Source organism: Homo sapiens, chromosome 13 (assembly GCF_000001405.40).
Source record: "Homo sapiens chromosome 13, GRCh38.p14 Primary Assembly".
Lineage (NCBI taxonomy): Eukaryota > Metazoa > Chordata > Mammalia > Primates > Hominidae > Homo > Homo sapiens.
In genome coordinates, this window is record NC_000013.11 from 33,592,101 (window position 1) to 33,608,435 (window position 16,335).

At 38.4% G+C, this 16,335-nt stretch overlaps 1 protein-coding gene and 1 long non-coding RNA gene across 4 annotated transcripts in view; one reads left to right on the forward strand and one right to left on the reverse strand.

Moving 5' to 3' along the window:
- STARD13 (StAR related lipid transfer domain containing 13) overlaps window positions 1-16,335 on the reverse strand; it is a 573,658-nt gene that overhangs the window by 488,964 nt on the left and 68,359 nt on the right. The gene's annotated exons all lie outside the window — the stretch shown is intronic.
- The window catches only part of LOC102723406 (uncharacterized), a 57,046-nt gene that overhangs the window by 37,368 nt on the left and 3,343 nt on the right, over window positions 1-16,335 (forward strand). For both annotated transcript variants that reach the window (XR_007063750.1, XR_001749811.2), the window contains one exon: window positions 14,638-14,776. This is a non-coding gene — a long non-coding RNA (uncharacterized LOC102723406). The remainder of the gene's footprint in view (window positions 1-14,637; window positions 14,777-16,335) is intronic.

A 16,335-nucleotide genomic window follows, 5' to 3' on the forward strand; every position in this document is an offset into this window, starting at 1 on the left:
TTTTTCTTCAAAACGCAATTAGAATTAGTTCATGTCATTTTAGTTTAAAAGCAACAAAGGCAAATGGTTTGTTGCTTTACGTTGGCATTGAGTCCAGTGGATCGATTTTCAAATTCTGCCTTAAAATATAAGTTTTTGGTTTTCCATGCGTATGAATCAAATCCCCTTTGGTATTCAAAGAATAAAAATTATCCTTTAGTTTGTATCAGTTTTCAAGTTACTATATTGTATAATATGTTTATTTGTTTTAGCCATAAAAAATAGGCCCAACAGGTTATTTCAGACCTGAGATCTGGAGGATCTGGGGTGCTAAGATGATCAGAAGGAGACAATGCATTGCTTAGGAGGTCAGCAATGGGAGAGAATTCTAGGGCCTCATGCCCTTGCCAGGGGTCAACTGTTTACAGGAGAATGAGATACTCCAGAGATCAGATATATAGTTGTGATCCTGACCTAAGATACAGTCTTACACAATGAGGAATGAGATATAAGCCTGGAAAGTTCCCTTTTGAGGACTTTAAAAAAAGTCTTTTATTTTATAAGGAGTGCAACGAAGAGCTTAGATACTTGCTTAAGATCATAGGGCTTATTAAGAACTAACTCCTGATTCCTTCCCAGTCCAATTTTCTGACACAAGCATACACTGAGAATTTGAGTAACTTAATGAGTTGAAATAGTTTTAAATTGATGTGAAAGTTTTCAATGTAATTTAGCAAATGCTTATTGAGTACCTTCTACAGAGAGAGGGTAATGTAGGCCTAAAGCCCAAGCTCCCTCAAATAGTTCTGGACAACAGGCTGGAGTAGATTATAAAGAAGGCAGGAGGGCTGGGTTGGGGACATCAGAGCTCAACATATCATGGGGAGAGGCTGAAGACCACTTGGATGCAGGAATGAAGGTGGGCACCTAGGAGAGGGGTGGGAAGAGCTCCAGAGATGCTCCATGGGTGCACTAGGTCAATATGCCAGGGCTGAGGATCTGATACATGTGCCTCTATGAGCCAAGGCTGACAATTATGTCAATTCAGCCAGATTATGGAGTAGAAGATGTGGAAGATGTTTACTTTTATTTATTTATTTTTATTTTTTATTTTTTTATTTTTGATACAGAGTCTTGCTCTGTCACCCAGGCTGGAGTGCAGTGGCAGGATCTCTACCCACTGCAACCTCTGCCTCCCGGGTTCAAGTGATTCTCCTGCCTCAGCCTCCGGAGTAGCTGGGATTACAGGCACCTGCCACCACACCCAGCTAATTTTTCTATTTTTAGTAGAGATGGGGTTTCACCATGTTGTCCAGGCTGGTCTCAAACTCCTGACCTCAGGTGATCCCCGCCTTGGCCTCCCAAAGTGCTGGGATTACAGGCATGAGCCACCGTGCCCTGCCAGATGTTTACTTTTAAACTGTCAGAACTTACTATGAGCTTTTTCACTCATAACCTCGAGACTCTCTTTTCTGGAATAATGGAGACCCACAGGACATTTATGCACAGATTCAGCCCCATGCCAGTCTTGCCTTAGCTAAGGAAAAATTAAGAGGCCATACTCAATCCTAAGAAAATACATCCTTTGACCGGGGTATTAAATACCAATAACAGTTTCTCCTTGTTCCTGAGATCAATCCCTCCCAAATTGCTGCATCCCTACACAGGTCCCAATATCTACATTGGATTTCTGTGTCAGGATTCACCTGACAGGACATCCCATCTCTCTAGAGATGGGATCAGTCCCCATCTCCCTTACCCAGGGCTGACACAGTCCCCTGGTGGCAGTTGCCTAAGCTCTTCCAATAGCACCTACTTCTGTTTTTGTTTTTGTTTTCTTTTTTTGAGACGGAGTCTTGCTCTGTCGCTCAGGCTGGAGTGCAGTGACGCGATCTCGACTCACTGCAAGCTCTGTCTCCCGGGTTCACGCCGTTCTCCTGCCTCAGCCTCCCAAGTAGCTGGGACTACAGGTGCCCGCCACCATGCCCGGCTAATTTTTTGTATTTTCAGTAGAGATAGGGTTTCACCATATTTCCAGGATGGTCTCTATCTCCTGATCTTGTGATCCTCCTGCCTCGGCCTCCCAAAGTGCTGGGATTACAGGCATGCCAATGAATAGCACCTACTTCTAATCCTCATGGTGTTATTCTGTCTAGCCATGAAGATACCCATTACATCTGAAACTTGCTGAAATATTATAGGCTTTGGATTCAGCCAGATCTGCCAACTAAATGCCATCAGAGGTCTTGTTCAGAGGACCAGCTCTGCCAAGCTTTTTCTGCCATAATGAATCATCTCATATCTGGTTGCATCACAGGATCTCACAAAAGATTTAGGAGGATGATCTACTAAAACCATGAACTTTGAAGTTTGTTAGACCTTATTAAAATATTTGGGTTACTTTTTAAAATTATTTATTTTCTAAAAATTGTGGTAAAATATACATAACAAAATTTATCATTGTAATGATTTTAAAGTGTGTAGTTCAGTGGCATTAAGTTCATTAACGTTGTTGTGCAATCATCACCATCATCCATATCCAGAACTTTTTACCTTCTCACACCGAAACTCAACCCATTAAACATGAATTCCTCATTCCTGCCTCTCCCCAGCCCTGGCAACCAGCAATCTACTTTCTGTCTATAAATTTGCCTACTCTAAGCACCTTTTATGAACAGAATTATGCAGAACTTGTCCTTTGTGACTGGTTCACTGAGCAGAATATCTTTAAGTTTCATCCATGTTATGGCATATGTCTGAATTTCCTCCCTTTTTAAGCTGAATAATACTTGACTGTATGTGTATACTGCATTTCTTTATGTGTGTCTCTGTCTATGGACACTTGGATTGCTTCTACCATTTGGCTATTGTGAATAATGCTGCTGTGAACATAGGTGCACAAATATTTTATCCCTGGTTTGTTTCTTTGGGATATATATCAAAAAGTGGAATTGCTGGATCATATGGTAATTCTAGTTTTAATTTTCTGAGAAACTTCCAAACTGTTTTAGGACTACCTTTTAGACCTGACATTGAACAAAAACATTTTACCATTTCCACTTCTTCACATAGATGTACTTCGGAGGTAACAGTAAAATGATTTTGAATGCATGCATGCTTATTGGGGTTAAGAGAGAAGCTTACTTCATTATCTTTAAAATAGAGCTTATGTGTGTTGAAGTTTGGGCAAATAAAAGTATGTTACAGCCTATTAGAAAGTAAAAACAAAACAAAAAACTCTATCTACTAAGACCTAACTATGTGGATCATCTAGAGAACATGTCAGCTAGAGCAATCCACATTGTCTCACTGGCATAATATGATGTTTTTTAGATAAGGACAGTAGGAGTTAAAAATTAAATGGATCACTAGGCTTAAATGCTTTTTTAAAAGAGAAAATTTAAATTATAATGAGAACAGAGTTTAAAAGATTATAAAATGTGTTAATATAGAGAAAGATACCCTTATTTAAATTATACCTAAGTCTTTCTAAAAATAAAGTGAAAATCTTCAATCTAAGATACATGGGTTGTGCACACATAGATGAAATCTACTTTTACAAAATGATTTACTGTGTACCTAAAGAATGGATTCACTCAGGGGAACCAAATACCAAGTTATGGTTTATTGCAGAATAATAAATCTGCAATTTGGAAAAGTCTTGGGTCAGCATGGCATGGTTTTTAGCAATTATGAAATGGCTAGGTTTTAAATCTTGTGATTTAATCACGTATTAAAATACTCTCTTAAAAATTGTTGCAAGACAGCTCTGTTAAAACAAACAAACAAAGAACCACAGCTTCTAACTGGATTTCTGCTAATTGTCCTGAAGCTTAGCATTAGGAGAAGAGCCCACTCTTTATTTCTGTGCTGTTTACTGTTTAAATTGTATTGGATCTTGAGTATTTGTAGCCTCAGTTTGAAATCAGATGCTCTTCCAGATATGAACCAACTGACTAACTTCCAGGAGATATCAGGGAATCATTATCCAATATGTGATTTCATAGTTTGTTCTCAGCTGTGATTTATTAAGCTGGTGGCTATTGTCATTAAGGATTGCTTGTGTATGGTAATAGTATAGATTCAGCATAGAGAATTGAAAAATTATATTTGTTTCACTTTGTTTCAAAGGCTAATTGTTTGGTGTTTTCATCATTTCTATGATAGGCGAAACGCCCCAAGTGAAAGGGTTAAATCATCAAATTATATTTTTATCCTTATAAAAAGTATTAAATACTTATTCTAACACACTCCATTATGTCATGGTTTAAGTCTCGTACCCACAATATATATGGTATAGTTGAAATGTCATCAATACACACACATGCATGTTATATATATTTAGTGATTCATAATGATTATACATATTTATGGGGTACGTGTGATGTTTTGATATATGCATACAATGCTTAATGATCAAATCAGGGCATTTAGGACATTTATCACCTCAAATATTTATCATTTCTTTGTGTTGGGAACATTCCAAATCTTCTGCCAAATTTGAAACATATAATAAACTATTGTTAACTACAGTTACTACACTGTGCTACCAAATACTGGAATTATTCCTTCTAACTGTATGTTTTATCCATTAACCAACCTCTCTTCATTCCCTGACCCTTCCCTTTCTCTGATAACCATAATTCTACCCTCTACCTCCATGAGATCAACTTTTTAAGCTCCCACATATGAGTGAGAACATGCAATATTTGTCTTTCTGTGCCTGGCTTATTTCACCTAACATAACGACCTACAGTTCCAACCATGTTCCTGCAATGATAAGATTTCATTCTTTTTTTGTGGCTGAATAGTATGCCATTGTGTATATATATCACATTTTCTTTGTCTATTCATCCATTGATGAACACTTAGGTTGGTTCCACATCTTGGCTATTGTGAATAGTGCTGCAATAACTATAGGGGTTCAGGTATCTGTTGATATACTGATTTCCTTTCCTTTAAATAAATACCCAGTGGTGGGATTGCTGCATAGTACTGCTGTTCTATTTTTAGTTTTTTGAGAAGACTCCATGGTTTTTTCCATAATGGCTGTACTATTATAATTTACATTCCCAACAGTGTATGAATATCCTTTTCTCTGCATCCTTGTCAGCATTTCTTATTTCCTGTCTTTTTGACAATAGCCATTCTAACTGGGGCAAGATGCTATCTTGTGGTTTTGATTGGCATTTTCCTGATGATAGTGACATTGAATATTTTTTTCATATACTTGTTGGTCATTTATGTTTTCTTTTGAGAAATGTCTATTCAAATCCTTTGCCCATTTTAAATGGAATTGTTTGGGTTTCTCTTTTTTTTTTGCTGTTCAACATCTATATTATTACTAATCATTACTCTAATGTGTTTCTACATTCTTGGTTAACAGAATTATCCAGACTTTTCTCATTTCATCATACAACCTTTATTCTACTATGTGTTGGGCAGAGTAGTGGGTGCTGGTGAAATATAGATAAATAAAATTGCAACCAGGCGCGGTGGCTCACGCCTCTAATCCCAGCACTTTGGGAGGCTGAGGCAGGCAGATCACCTGAGGTCGGGAGTTCCAGACCAGCCTGACCAACATGGAGAAACCCCATCTCTACTAAAAAAAAAAAAAATAGAAAAATTAGCCGGGCATGGGGCACATGCCTGTAATCCCAGCTATTCGGGAGGCAGAGGCAGGAGAATCGTTTGAATCTGGGAGGCAGAGGTTGTGGCGAGCTGAGATCGCGCCACTGCACTCCAGTCTGGGCAACAAGAGTGAAACTCCGTCTCAAAAAAAAAAAAAGATTGCACTTTTGTCTTCAAGACACTCAACATCTAATTAGGCAGAAGTTGGATAAATGTTGATGGCTATTATTTGATAGATTTGAACTATAATATATTGTACTGACAGAAAAATAAGTGAGTGCCTGAATGATGCTATTTGTTCTACAAATTTTCTTCAAGAGCTTATTAATCATGTCATCTTTGCCACCTGACCCCAGCCTTTAGGACATTCCTGACATAGCCATCAAGGTGTTCATGGTCTCTTCTACCCTAATGTCAATGTCCTTTTTTGCTAAGCCAGTAGTCTCACTGTTTCTTGACTTCTACTCCTAGAGATTTGGTATCCTACATGCTACTCATATGGCTCCCTTCGAACTTAGTATTCCCTCGTATTGCACAGTAAGAGATGAGTCTGGTTCGATGGTTGTGAATGTTCTCCAGGAACATTCAATTTGAGGATAAAAAGAAGTATCAAATTCTGAATCAAACTGTTCTCAACTGTCTCTGAAGGGAAAATCTCATGGTTGTGCTCTTAGGCTGTAACTCAAATGAATGATTTTAGCCCTATTTGGGTACTAAATGACTCTTTTTAAATTAATCTATCCTATTAAGACTATATTTTATTACAGTTATTTGTTTATGCATCTATCACTCCTATTTAGACCAAGATTTGCAAGTGTAGAAACAGTGTTGGTATAATACAATATGTGAGAAAAAGTTTTAGCATTTTCATAATTTCCATCAGTAACTCTCCTCTGCCATTTTAATATTAATACAACTGATATTTTCTCAGTTTTATGGAAAATATGAGTGAAGACATCTTCATAAAACTTTGCTAGTTTTTTAAATTAATCTATAACATATAATCTTAAACTAACTTCACTTGAAATGCAAACACAGCCTCATGACAAATCCCTTAGCTCCTAAATTACCGTCCCTAAACTTCTAAACAGAAATTCTGGAGATGCCATGGGGCGGGAGCTGGGCATTTTTCATCTTTGGATCACTAACTTGTAAATTCATGCCAAGAAGACAGTAGGCTCTCCTTACATGTTTCCTAAAAAATTTAGGTTCAAGAGAAATCTGTGTATCAAGAGCTTTCATTCCTTTAAAAGAAATATTTATGGTTTGCCATGATGTAAGAAACTTTTGGGAGTGATATCTACAAGGAGGGAATTTCAATTGTGAGAGTTTCAATTTAAAAAAAATTCATCCAGCAGTTGGTTTCTCTTCCAAACTTCCTTGAGAAACAGCCTCAACCATATCATATTGCGCTGGGTTTTATTTTAGGCATCCTAACCCAAACCAAGTTTATTTATCCCCTCATTAGTTTATTTGAAAAGCAGTAAGTAAAGAAATCTTACATCCCAGCCTTAAAACTTTTCACGTGTTCCAGGAACTCCCTTTGCACTAATTATACTTATAACACTGGAACTAGATTATTTCCTTTATAGAACTCAGAGGCTTCCAAAGAATACCTGAAACTCTTAACCTGAAATCAAATGAGCAGTTTGAGGATCTCAGTAACACCATAACAACAATCTTTACCCTTTTATTTCTTTTGTTAATACTTTTCTCAGCTCTCAGTTTCATCAGTTACTTAATAACCTTGTTTATCAATTTCCTTATTAATAAAAGAAAACTTCATTCCTAGGAGCTTAGGTGAAGTGAATTGCCTCTATCCTCCTCCTCATTAAGCTTTTGGAAGGCACCTTGGACAAATGAGCCTAAATTACCGTGCCTGCCAACAGCAAATATTTTCCACAAGAAGGCCTTTTTAAGGAGAAATTTAGGTCAAAAGCAGCAAAATTTAAAGAGTTTACAGTTTACAGTGACTACTGAACTAGCGCTATGAGAGAGAGAGTGAGAGGGAGAGAGAGACAGAGAAAGACTTCTTTATAAACATAATGCCATTTAATAAATGTGGAATGAATTGATATAACTAAAACAAAATTCCCATTTTATACTTCTCAATATGAATAAATGATTAAGGCAAGATTAAGATCAATGATGGATTACAACCATTAGCTGAAATGTTGTTCTGAAACTGAGTGTTCAAATGGTCACAAAGTTTCTCCATGCATGTTACTTACGAATTACAAATGGAAAACGCCCCTTTATACCAAAGAGATCCAGCATGCATCATCTTACAACTACGTGATCAAACTTGCTCTCACCCACAGGGAACCCATCTGACTTTATTTGCCACCTGATGGGATGCAATTAGTACTCAATATCACGTATGTAGTTTTCTTGCTAAAAACCAGAGCCTGTATCAAATTGTGAAGAAATAATCATACACATCTAGAATGTGGAACATTCTTCAAGACACTGATCTGGATTCAAAAAAAGTGAATGTCATGAGAAACAGAATAGGGAGAATACTGCTCCTGATAAAGTGATCAAACAGACCAAAACAACAACAGCAGAAAGCAAAGTACAAATCTTGATTTGACCCAGGATTTTTTAAATCTATGAAAGATAGTATTAAGACAATCAAAAAATTTAAATATAGCCCGTGTAAAATGGTAATCCATGTATTTAATTCTTATGAATAGTTAATGGTATTTTGGTTATATAGAAGAAAGTGTTAACTCTTAAGTAACTACACAGTTCAGCATAAACATGCATATCTGTCTGTTTTAGATCCATTTGTATGTACACACAGAAACACATACATACATATACATAGAAAGAAAGCAAATGGGTGAAATGTTAATTTGTGAATCTTGGTGAAAGGTATACGGTATTCCTATTCAATTTGTTAATATTTCTGCAGGTTTAATTTTTTTCAAAGTAAAAAGTAGGGGAAAAATAAGAAAAGGGATGTACACTTTTTACCAGAAACATTGTATGGCTGTCAATACCTTAATAAAAATTATAAATCAGCTTTTTAAAAAAAGTCTTATTTCTCCTGTCTCTGCCATTTCATATGTGTGTGACCATAGATGGGCTATTAAGTTCTGAATAAATTTTTCTAATCTGTAAAATGAGGAGATAATGCTCATTTTAAAGAAGAATAAAGAGACCAAGAAGATCCTAAAACTTGTGTTTGCTATCTTCTCCTACGTACTATGGTATGAAAGGGAAAAGTGCTCACATTACTTCTCTCCTCTCATCCCTTTCCTTTCTCAAGCAACACTTGGATCAAACGATGGAAAATGTTATTTTCATTTTTCATTAACATGGGAATTCTACTATTCTTGTCTTTTGGTGTGTGATGACACGTGCAGCTCACAGGGTAGAAGATTTGAGGTGGAAGGGCTAAAACATGGTCGCCCTATGATCATTTCTATTGTTGCATCACAATAGAGGATAAGGGTTAAATTCAACCATTTTTTTTCCAGGTTTCAAAAAATGTTTTTGTTTTTTTTTTTTTCTGCTGTGGCCAGCAGACCTTGATTTCTGTTGCTAGGAAACCTGGAAGGTACTTTTTAGTCCTCATAGAAACCATGTTTTAATGCAATCACTTTCAATGACTCTTTATTGGCTGTTTTGCTTGGTGCCAACTCAAAGAAGGTTCACATCAAACCCTTACAAGGTGAACCTGATCGTGTCAAACTGCGCTAGCCCTGGGGACTTTGTGGAAGTGCCTCAGGGGTTTCTTGGGGATAGGAAAGGGTGGGAGCCAGGGGGCAATACCCCTCCCCACTTCAAGCAGAGCAATTCTACTTTGATCTGCTTTAATGTTAGGCTTTCTTTGAAGAAAATGCTTTATGGGAGGGAGTATTTGAAAAGCCTTGACCTAATCTAACACACAAGAAAGCTGAATTTCTGCGAAGTGACTTGCCCAAAGTTACCCAGTTCCCAAACACCAAGACTGGGATTAAACCTGAGTGTTCTGATTCCAGATCTCTTTCTATTACCCCACACTTCCTGCTCCTCCTCACCATGCCTACCTGGTCCTTCCTTTCACCATGTTCCGGAGATCCCTGGCCTGACTCTGTGCCCAGAACTGTGAAGGACAGTAGACCCTGGAGGGCAGTGTTGTAGTGGGCCCAAAACTGTTGACCCCTGGATATTTTCCTGAGGATGCTGCGATCTCTAGTTAACTACTGACAGCACTTTCCCCAGGTTCCTTTCAGAGAGAATGGCTTTAAGCAGTCGTATGGAAAAACATTTTTTTCTACTGTGGCTGTGAGCATTTGGGAACTTGTTCCTGAGAATAAATAGGAGGATCTGGCTCAGCAATACTGGGGATGATATAATCTGAACCACCTCCTGTGACGAACATCTAGTAATTCTTTTTTTTTTTTTTTTGAGATGGAGTTTTGCTCTTGTCGCCCAGGCTGGAGTGCAGTGACAAGATCTCAGCTCGCTGCAACCTCTGCCTCCCAGGTTCAAGCGATTCTTCTGCCTCAGCCTCCCGAATAGCTGGGACTACAGGCACGTGCAACCACGCCCAGCTAATTTTTTGTATTGTTAGTAGAGACAGGGTTTCATCGTGTTAGCCAGGATGGTCTCGATCTCCTGACCTCGTGATCCGCCTGCCTTGGCCTCCCAAAGTGCTGGGATTGCAGGCGTGAGCCACCAAAACACCTAGTAATGTTTTTAAGCATTTAAAAAATGCCTAGCAGAGCTCAGAAGACTGAAAAAGGTTCAAAAGCAAAGCAGGAAAAGAAAGCCAGAGCACATAGATATGATCTGATTTTGCTACTTTAAGAAGGTGGGGGGCAGTTTATTAACCCAATTCAGGTGTCAATGTCAATTTAAGGACAGCAGTTGAGACATGTTCAAGATGGAGGTGAAGCTGACCCAATAGTCCCATAGACCAGAGGTCTCCAAACCTGGGGCCATGGACCGGTCTGTGGCCTGTTAGGAACTAGGCGGCACAGCAGGAGGTGAGCAACAGGTAAGCAAGCATTACTGCCTGAGCTCCATCTCCTGTCAGAGCATTGATGGCATTAGATTCTCATAGGAGCATGAACCCTGTTGTGAACTGTGCATATGGGAAATCTAGATTGTGTGCTCCTTATGAGAATCTAACTAATACCTGGTGAGGTGAAACAATTTCATCTGAAACCATCCCCCTGGTCCCCCAACCCCTGGCTGTAGAAAAATTGTCTTCCACGAAACTAGGCCCTGTTGCCAAAAAGGTTAGGGACCACTGCCATAGACAGTTGTTTTGGGATAAACATAGAAATTGATCCTTCTGGTCTTAAAGCTTGAAACTTATATTTGTTTTAAGAGTTCCTTCCTCAGGAAAGGATCCCTCGGGCCAAGGATCCCTCGGGCCTCTCAAAGTATCAAACAAGCAAAACTCACCAGATCACCACATCCAGACAATAAGATACTGGACCCATTAATTCATCATGATTGCTTTCTTACCCCTCCCTAGTTCCTGTTTTCTTACACATTGTTGCATTTCTCCCTGCTATATAAACCCCAAGTTTTAGCCGTCAGGGAGATGGATTTAAGAGTGATCTCCCATTTCCTCCATTGCAGCACATGATTAAAACCTTCTTCCTTGGCAATACTCGTTGTCTCAGGCATTGGCTATCTGTGTGGCAAGCAGCAGGACCTAAACCAAGCCCCTGGTGTTTTGGTAACAGAAGGCTGGAACTGAACAAGCTCCTAACCCCTAACATACATAACGCTGGGACTTATGAGGACTACACACACAACAAAAGGGTAAGCCAGAAAAATTCAGCACAGGGTGAAGACAAGGAGATTGCTCTCTTCCTGGCTAGGCTTCAGGTAGAAGCATGAAAATTCTACTCTGAGAATTCATAAGTATGGGCCTTATGGATTTAGAGTACAAACTGATGCTTTCTAAACATCAGGAACTCCCCTAACCTGGTCAATTAAAAAAAATTGATCTCAGCCAAGTGATAAATCTAAAAGAGTACATTTTGGAAGCAGAAGTAAACACATTTTTGAAAAAAAAATTTTAAAAATTTTTCACTGGATTCCCATAGTTAAAATCTCACAGAAGTTGTTTTAGCCTCAGACCTGTGTGTGCTGTGTGATCCCACAAACCCCATTTAAAAAACTTTAGGAAGAAAAAAATCCACCAGTAGAAAAAGAAGACAAAGCAATACCACATTTAGAGTTCCTAAAATTCCAGATAACATAACATTCTGGCAGATGAGAAAATAATAATTTTTAAAAGGATTAAAAGTACAAAAAATAAAACCCAAAGAAATAAGACACTCTTACAATTAAGTAGATTAAAATAGGTAGATAAAAAGCCAAGTAAAATTTTGAGAAATAAAAAGCAATCATTATATTAAAAATTAAATTGACAGATTAAATAACAAAGTCAGAACTGAAGCAGGAATTTGTGAATGGCAAAATAGTTCTGAGGATATTATGCAGAGTGGACTACCAAGAAATGGTGAAGAAATGTGGAGGGTAGAATGAAAATCAGCAATACATGTCAGACAGAAATGTCAGAAAGAAATGATAAGGATCTGAGAGGCAGAAATTTCTAAAATTTATGAAATTCATAAATGCTCAGATTCATGTAGTACAATTAATGCCAAGCATAATAAAAAGAAATTTGCATCTAGACACATGATAGTGAAATTACAGAACACCAAAGACAAGGAGAAGATCTTAGGAGAAACCAGAAAGAAAAAGAACAAATATTTTATCAATAGCAAACTTCTCCAAAGCAATACTGGAGGCTAGAAAAGAATAGAATAACTTAAGAATGCTAAAAGAGGCCAGGTGCAGTGGCTCATGCCTGTAATTCCAGCAATTTGGGAGGCCAAGACAGGCAGATCACCTGAGGTCAGGAGTTTGAGACCAGCCTGGCCAATATAGCAAAACCCCGTCTTTACTAAAAAAATACAAATATTAGCTGGGCATGGTGGTGTGTGCCTGTAATCTCAGCTATGCAGGAGGCTGAGGCAGGAGAATTGCTTTAATCTGGGAGGCAGAGGTTGCAGTGAGCTGAGATTGGGCCACTGCACTCCAGCCCGAGGGACAGAGCAAGACTTTGTCTTTAAAAAAAAAAAAAAGAATGCTAAAAGAAAATGTCTAAAAAGCTAGATCTCTGTATTTAACTAAACAATAACTATGAGTACAGTTGAAATATAGACCAGTCCAGACAAAAATATAGAGAGTTTTCTACTCACAGATCTTTGCCCAAAGACATACCAAATTTGGCTGGGTGCTGTGGCTCTCACCTGTAATCCTAGCACTTTGGGAGGCCAAGGGAGGATTGCTTGAGTCCAGGATTTTGAGACAAGCCTGGGCAACACAGTGAGACCCTATCTCTACCAAACATTAAAAAATTAGCTGGGTGTGGTGGTGTGAGCCTGTAGTCCCAGCTACTTGGGAGCCTGAGGTGGAAGGATGGCTTGAGCTCAGGAGTTTGAAGTTGCAGTGAGCCATGACAGTACCACTGCACTCCAGCCTGGGTGACAGAGCCAGATCCTGTCTCAAAAAAAAAAAAAAAAAAGAAGAAAAAGATAAATTTTATCCAGAGTGTTGCTCAGGCTGCTCTCAAACTCCCGGGCTCAAGTGATCCTCCTGCCTCAGCCTCCCAAAGTGTTGGAACTACAGGAGTAAGTCACCACATCCAGTCTTGTTTTATTTTTTATCTAGTATTTCTTCTTGAGTCAGTTTTAAGTTATAGTTTTCTAAGACAGAGCTTCTAAATTTATCAAAGACCAACACTTTTGTAAAATACAAAATTATGTGCTTGGATGCTGCAGTAGGGTAACAACAACAACAAAAAAATGCTTTAACAGGTTTTAAGCACTTACTCTCGGTTTCTGTACTTACTTTGTGGCAGAGTGGCAAGAAATAATTTGCTGATCAGTCAGCTGACCACACTTTGAATAGCGCTGTTCTAGGAAAACATCTGGTTGTCAAAGTTTTCAAATCTCTTAATAGAGTACTGTGCATAATATTTTCATATTAAACATTGTTAGTGATGTGTAGTTATGTTGTTTTACCAGTCCTAATATTGTTTATTTCCACTGTTTTTCTAGATATATCAGGCCATAGTTCTACTTCGGTAGTCTCTTGAAAGAAACAAATTTGGGATGTCGATTCTCTTTATTGCATTTTTGTTTAGTTAGATGACTAATGTGCTTGTTAAGGACATGGACTCTAGAGTCTGGGGTATGGGCTTGAGCCCCAATTTCTCTACATACTAGCTGAGCAAGTTACTTAATCTCTTCATGCCTCAGATGCCTCAACTGAAAAAAGGTGACAGGCCAAGCACGGTGGGTCGTGCTTGTAATCCCAGCACTTTGGGAAGCCTAGGTGGGTGGATCAACTGAGGTCATGAGTTCAAAACCAGCCTGGCCAACATGGTGAAACCCCATCTCTACTAAAAATAACAAAAATTAGCTGGGTGTAGTGGCAGGTATCTGTAATCCTAGCTACTCAGGAGGCTGAGACAGGAGAACTGCTTGGACTCCGGAGGTGGAGGTTGCAGTGAGCCAAGATCGCACCATTGCACTCCAGCCTGGGCAACAAGAGCAAAACTCCATCTCAAAAAGAAAAAAAGAAAAAATGCAATAATAATACCTATATATAAGGTTATTGTAAGAAAGAAAAGGGTTAATATGTGTAAAACATGTAGAATATTTCTCAGGATATTATAAGTTCTTAAAATATTAGCTTTATTTTCACTATCGCATTAATTTCTGCTTTTCCTTTAATGATTTTTCTTCCATTTTTTGCATTTACTCTGCTATTAATCTAACTTCTTGGGTTGTATACTTTATTATCTGAAATTTTTTTCAGTATGGGCATTTTAAGGCTGTCTACTTTCTATAATTACTGCCTTAACAGAATCTCAAAAGCTTTGATATGTAACATTATTATTTTATGTAGTTTTTAATTTCCACTGGTGTATTAGTTTTCTTTTGCTGCTGTAAAGAAATTACCACAAATGTAGTGGCTTAAAATAACACAAATGTCTTATAGTTCTACAGATCAAAAGTCTAACACTGGTGTTATTGGGCTGAAATCCAGGCGATGGCAGAGCTGCGCTCCTTTCTGGAGGCTCCGGGGAGAATTCTCTTCCTTAACCTTTCAAGCTTCTCGAGGCCCTCTGCACTCCCTGGTATGCTGCATCTTTCAGACCGCTTCTTCTGCCTCTCTCCCAGGCACTTTAGGACCCTTTCATTTACACTGGGTGCACCTGGATAATCCGGGTTAATCTCTTTGTTTAAGGTCAGCTCATTAGCAGCCTTAATTCATCTGCTACCTTCATTCCTTTTGTCACGTGACCTAGCATTTCACAGTTCCCAGGGATTACAAAGTGGATACTTGGGGGACAGTTTTGTTTTTTTTTTTTTGCCTACCGCAACTGATTTATACATTTTTAAGTGTCCCAATATATGTGAAATTTTTGGTTGATTTTGATTTTTAATTTTAAAGCACTGAAGTTACACAATGCACTAATAATAAAAATAATAACAAAAATAAAACAAAAACATGGTGTTTAAGATTACGAGTGAGTTAGTTTGTCAGCTATCATTGTTTCTTTTTTTTTTTTTTTTGAGACAGAACCTCGCTCTATCACCCAGGCTGGAGTGCAGTGGCGCAATCTCAGCTCACTGCAACCTCCGCCTCCTGGGTTCAAATGATTCTCCTGCCTCAGCCTCCAAGTATCTGGGACTACAGGTGCGTGCCACCACACCTGGCTAATTTTTTGTATTTTTAGTAGAGATGAGGTTTCACTGTCTTAGCCAGGATGGTCTGGATCTCCTGACCTGGTGATCCGCCTGCCTCAGCCTCCCAAAGTGCTGGGATTACAGGTGTGAGCCACCACGCCTGGCCCATTGTTTCTTTTCTGATGGTGCAAATTGGAGGCAGGAGAGGTTAAAAAGTTAAACTGATTAGAAAGGAAGAAAAAAAATTCATTCTTGATATTATCGTCCACACAGTTAATCCTAGAATTTATGCAAACTATTAGAACAAATAAAAAATGTTGGATTGTATTTAGATACAAGATATAATATAAAATATTATTTGCATTACAATAACTAAGCAACAAATAATCAGATGACATAATTTTGAAAGACACAATTTATGTTAATAATAAAATCTAAAAGCTGCCCAGAAAAAAAAGTAATGAAAATGTCCAATATCTCTAAAGAAACCGTTTTTTAGAGATAGAGTCTCACTTTGTTACCCAGGCTGGAGTACAATGGCACAATCCTAGCCTTTGGCAGCCTCAAACTCCTGGGCTCAAGCGATCCTCCCACCTCAGGCTTTGGAATAGCTGGGACTACAGGCATGTGCCACCATGCCCTTTTTTTCTTATTTTTTGTAGAGATGGGGTCTCACTATGTTGCTCAGACTGGTCTGGAACTCCAGGCCTCAAGTTATCTTTCTGCCTTGGCCTCCCAAAGTACTGGGATTACAGGTGCAAGCCACTGTGCCCAGCCCATGAAAACATTTTTAAAAGACATGCAAGAAGAACTTATTGAGAGATGCATTGCTTTCACAATGGAAAGACTAAATATCATAAAGATGTCCATTCTCCCAAAATTACTTAATACATTTAATATAATTGCACTCATAGTCTCAATAGGCATTTTTAGGGATCTGGACAAGCTGATTCTGAAATATTATGAAAGAGTAAATGGCCAACAAGTGCCAAGAAAATCTAGAAGA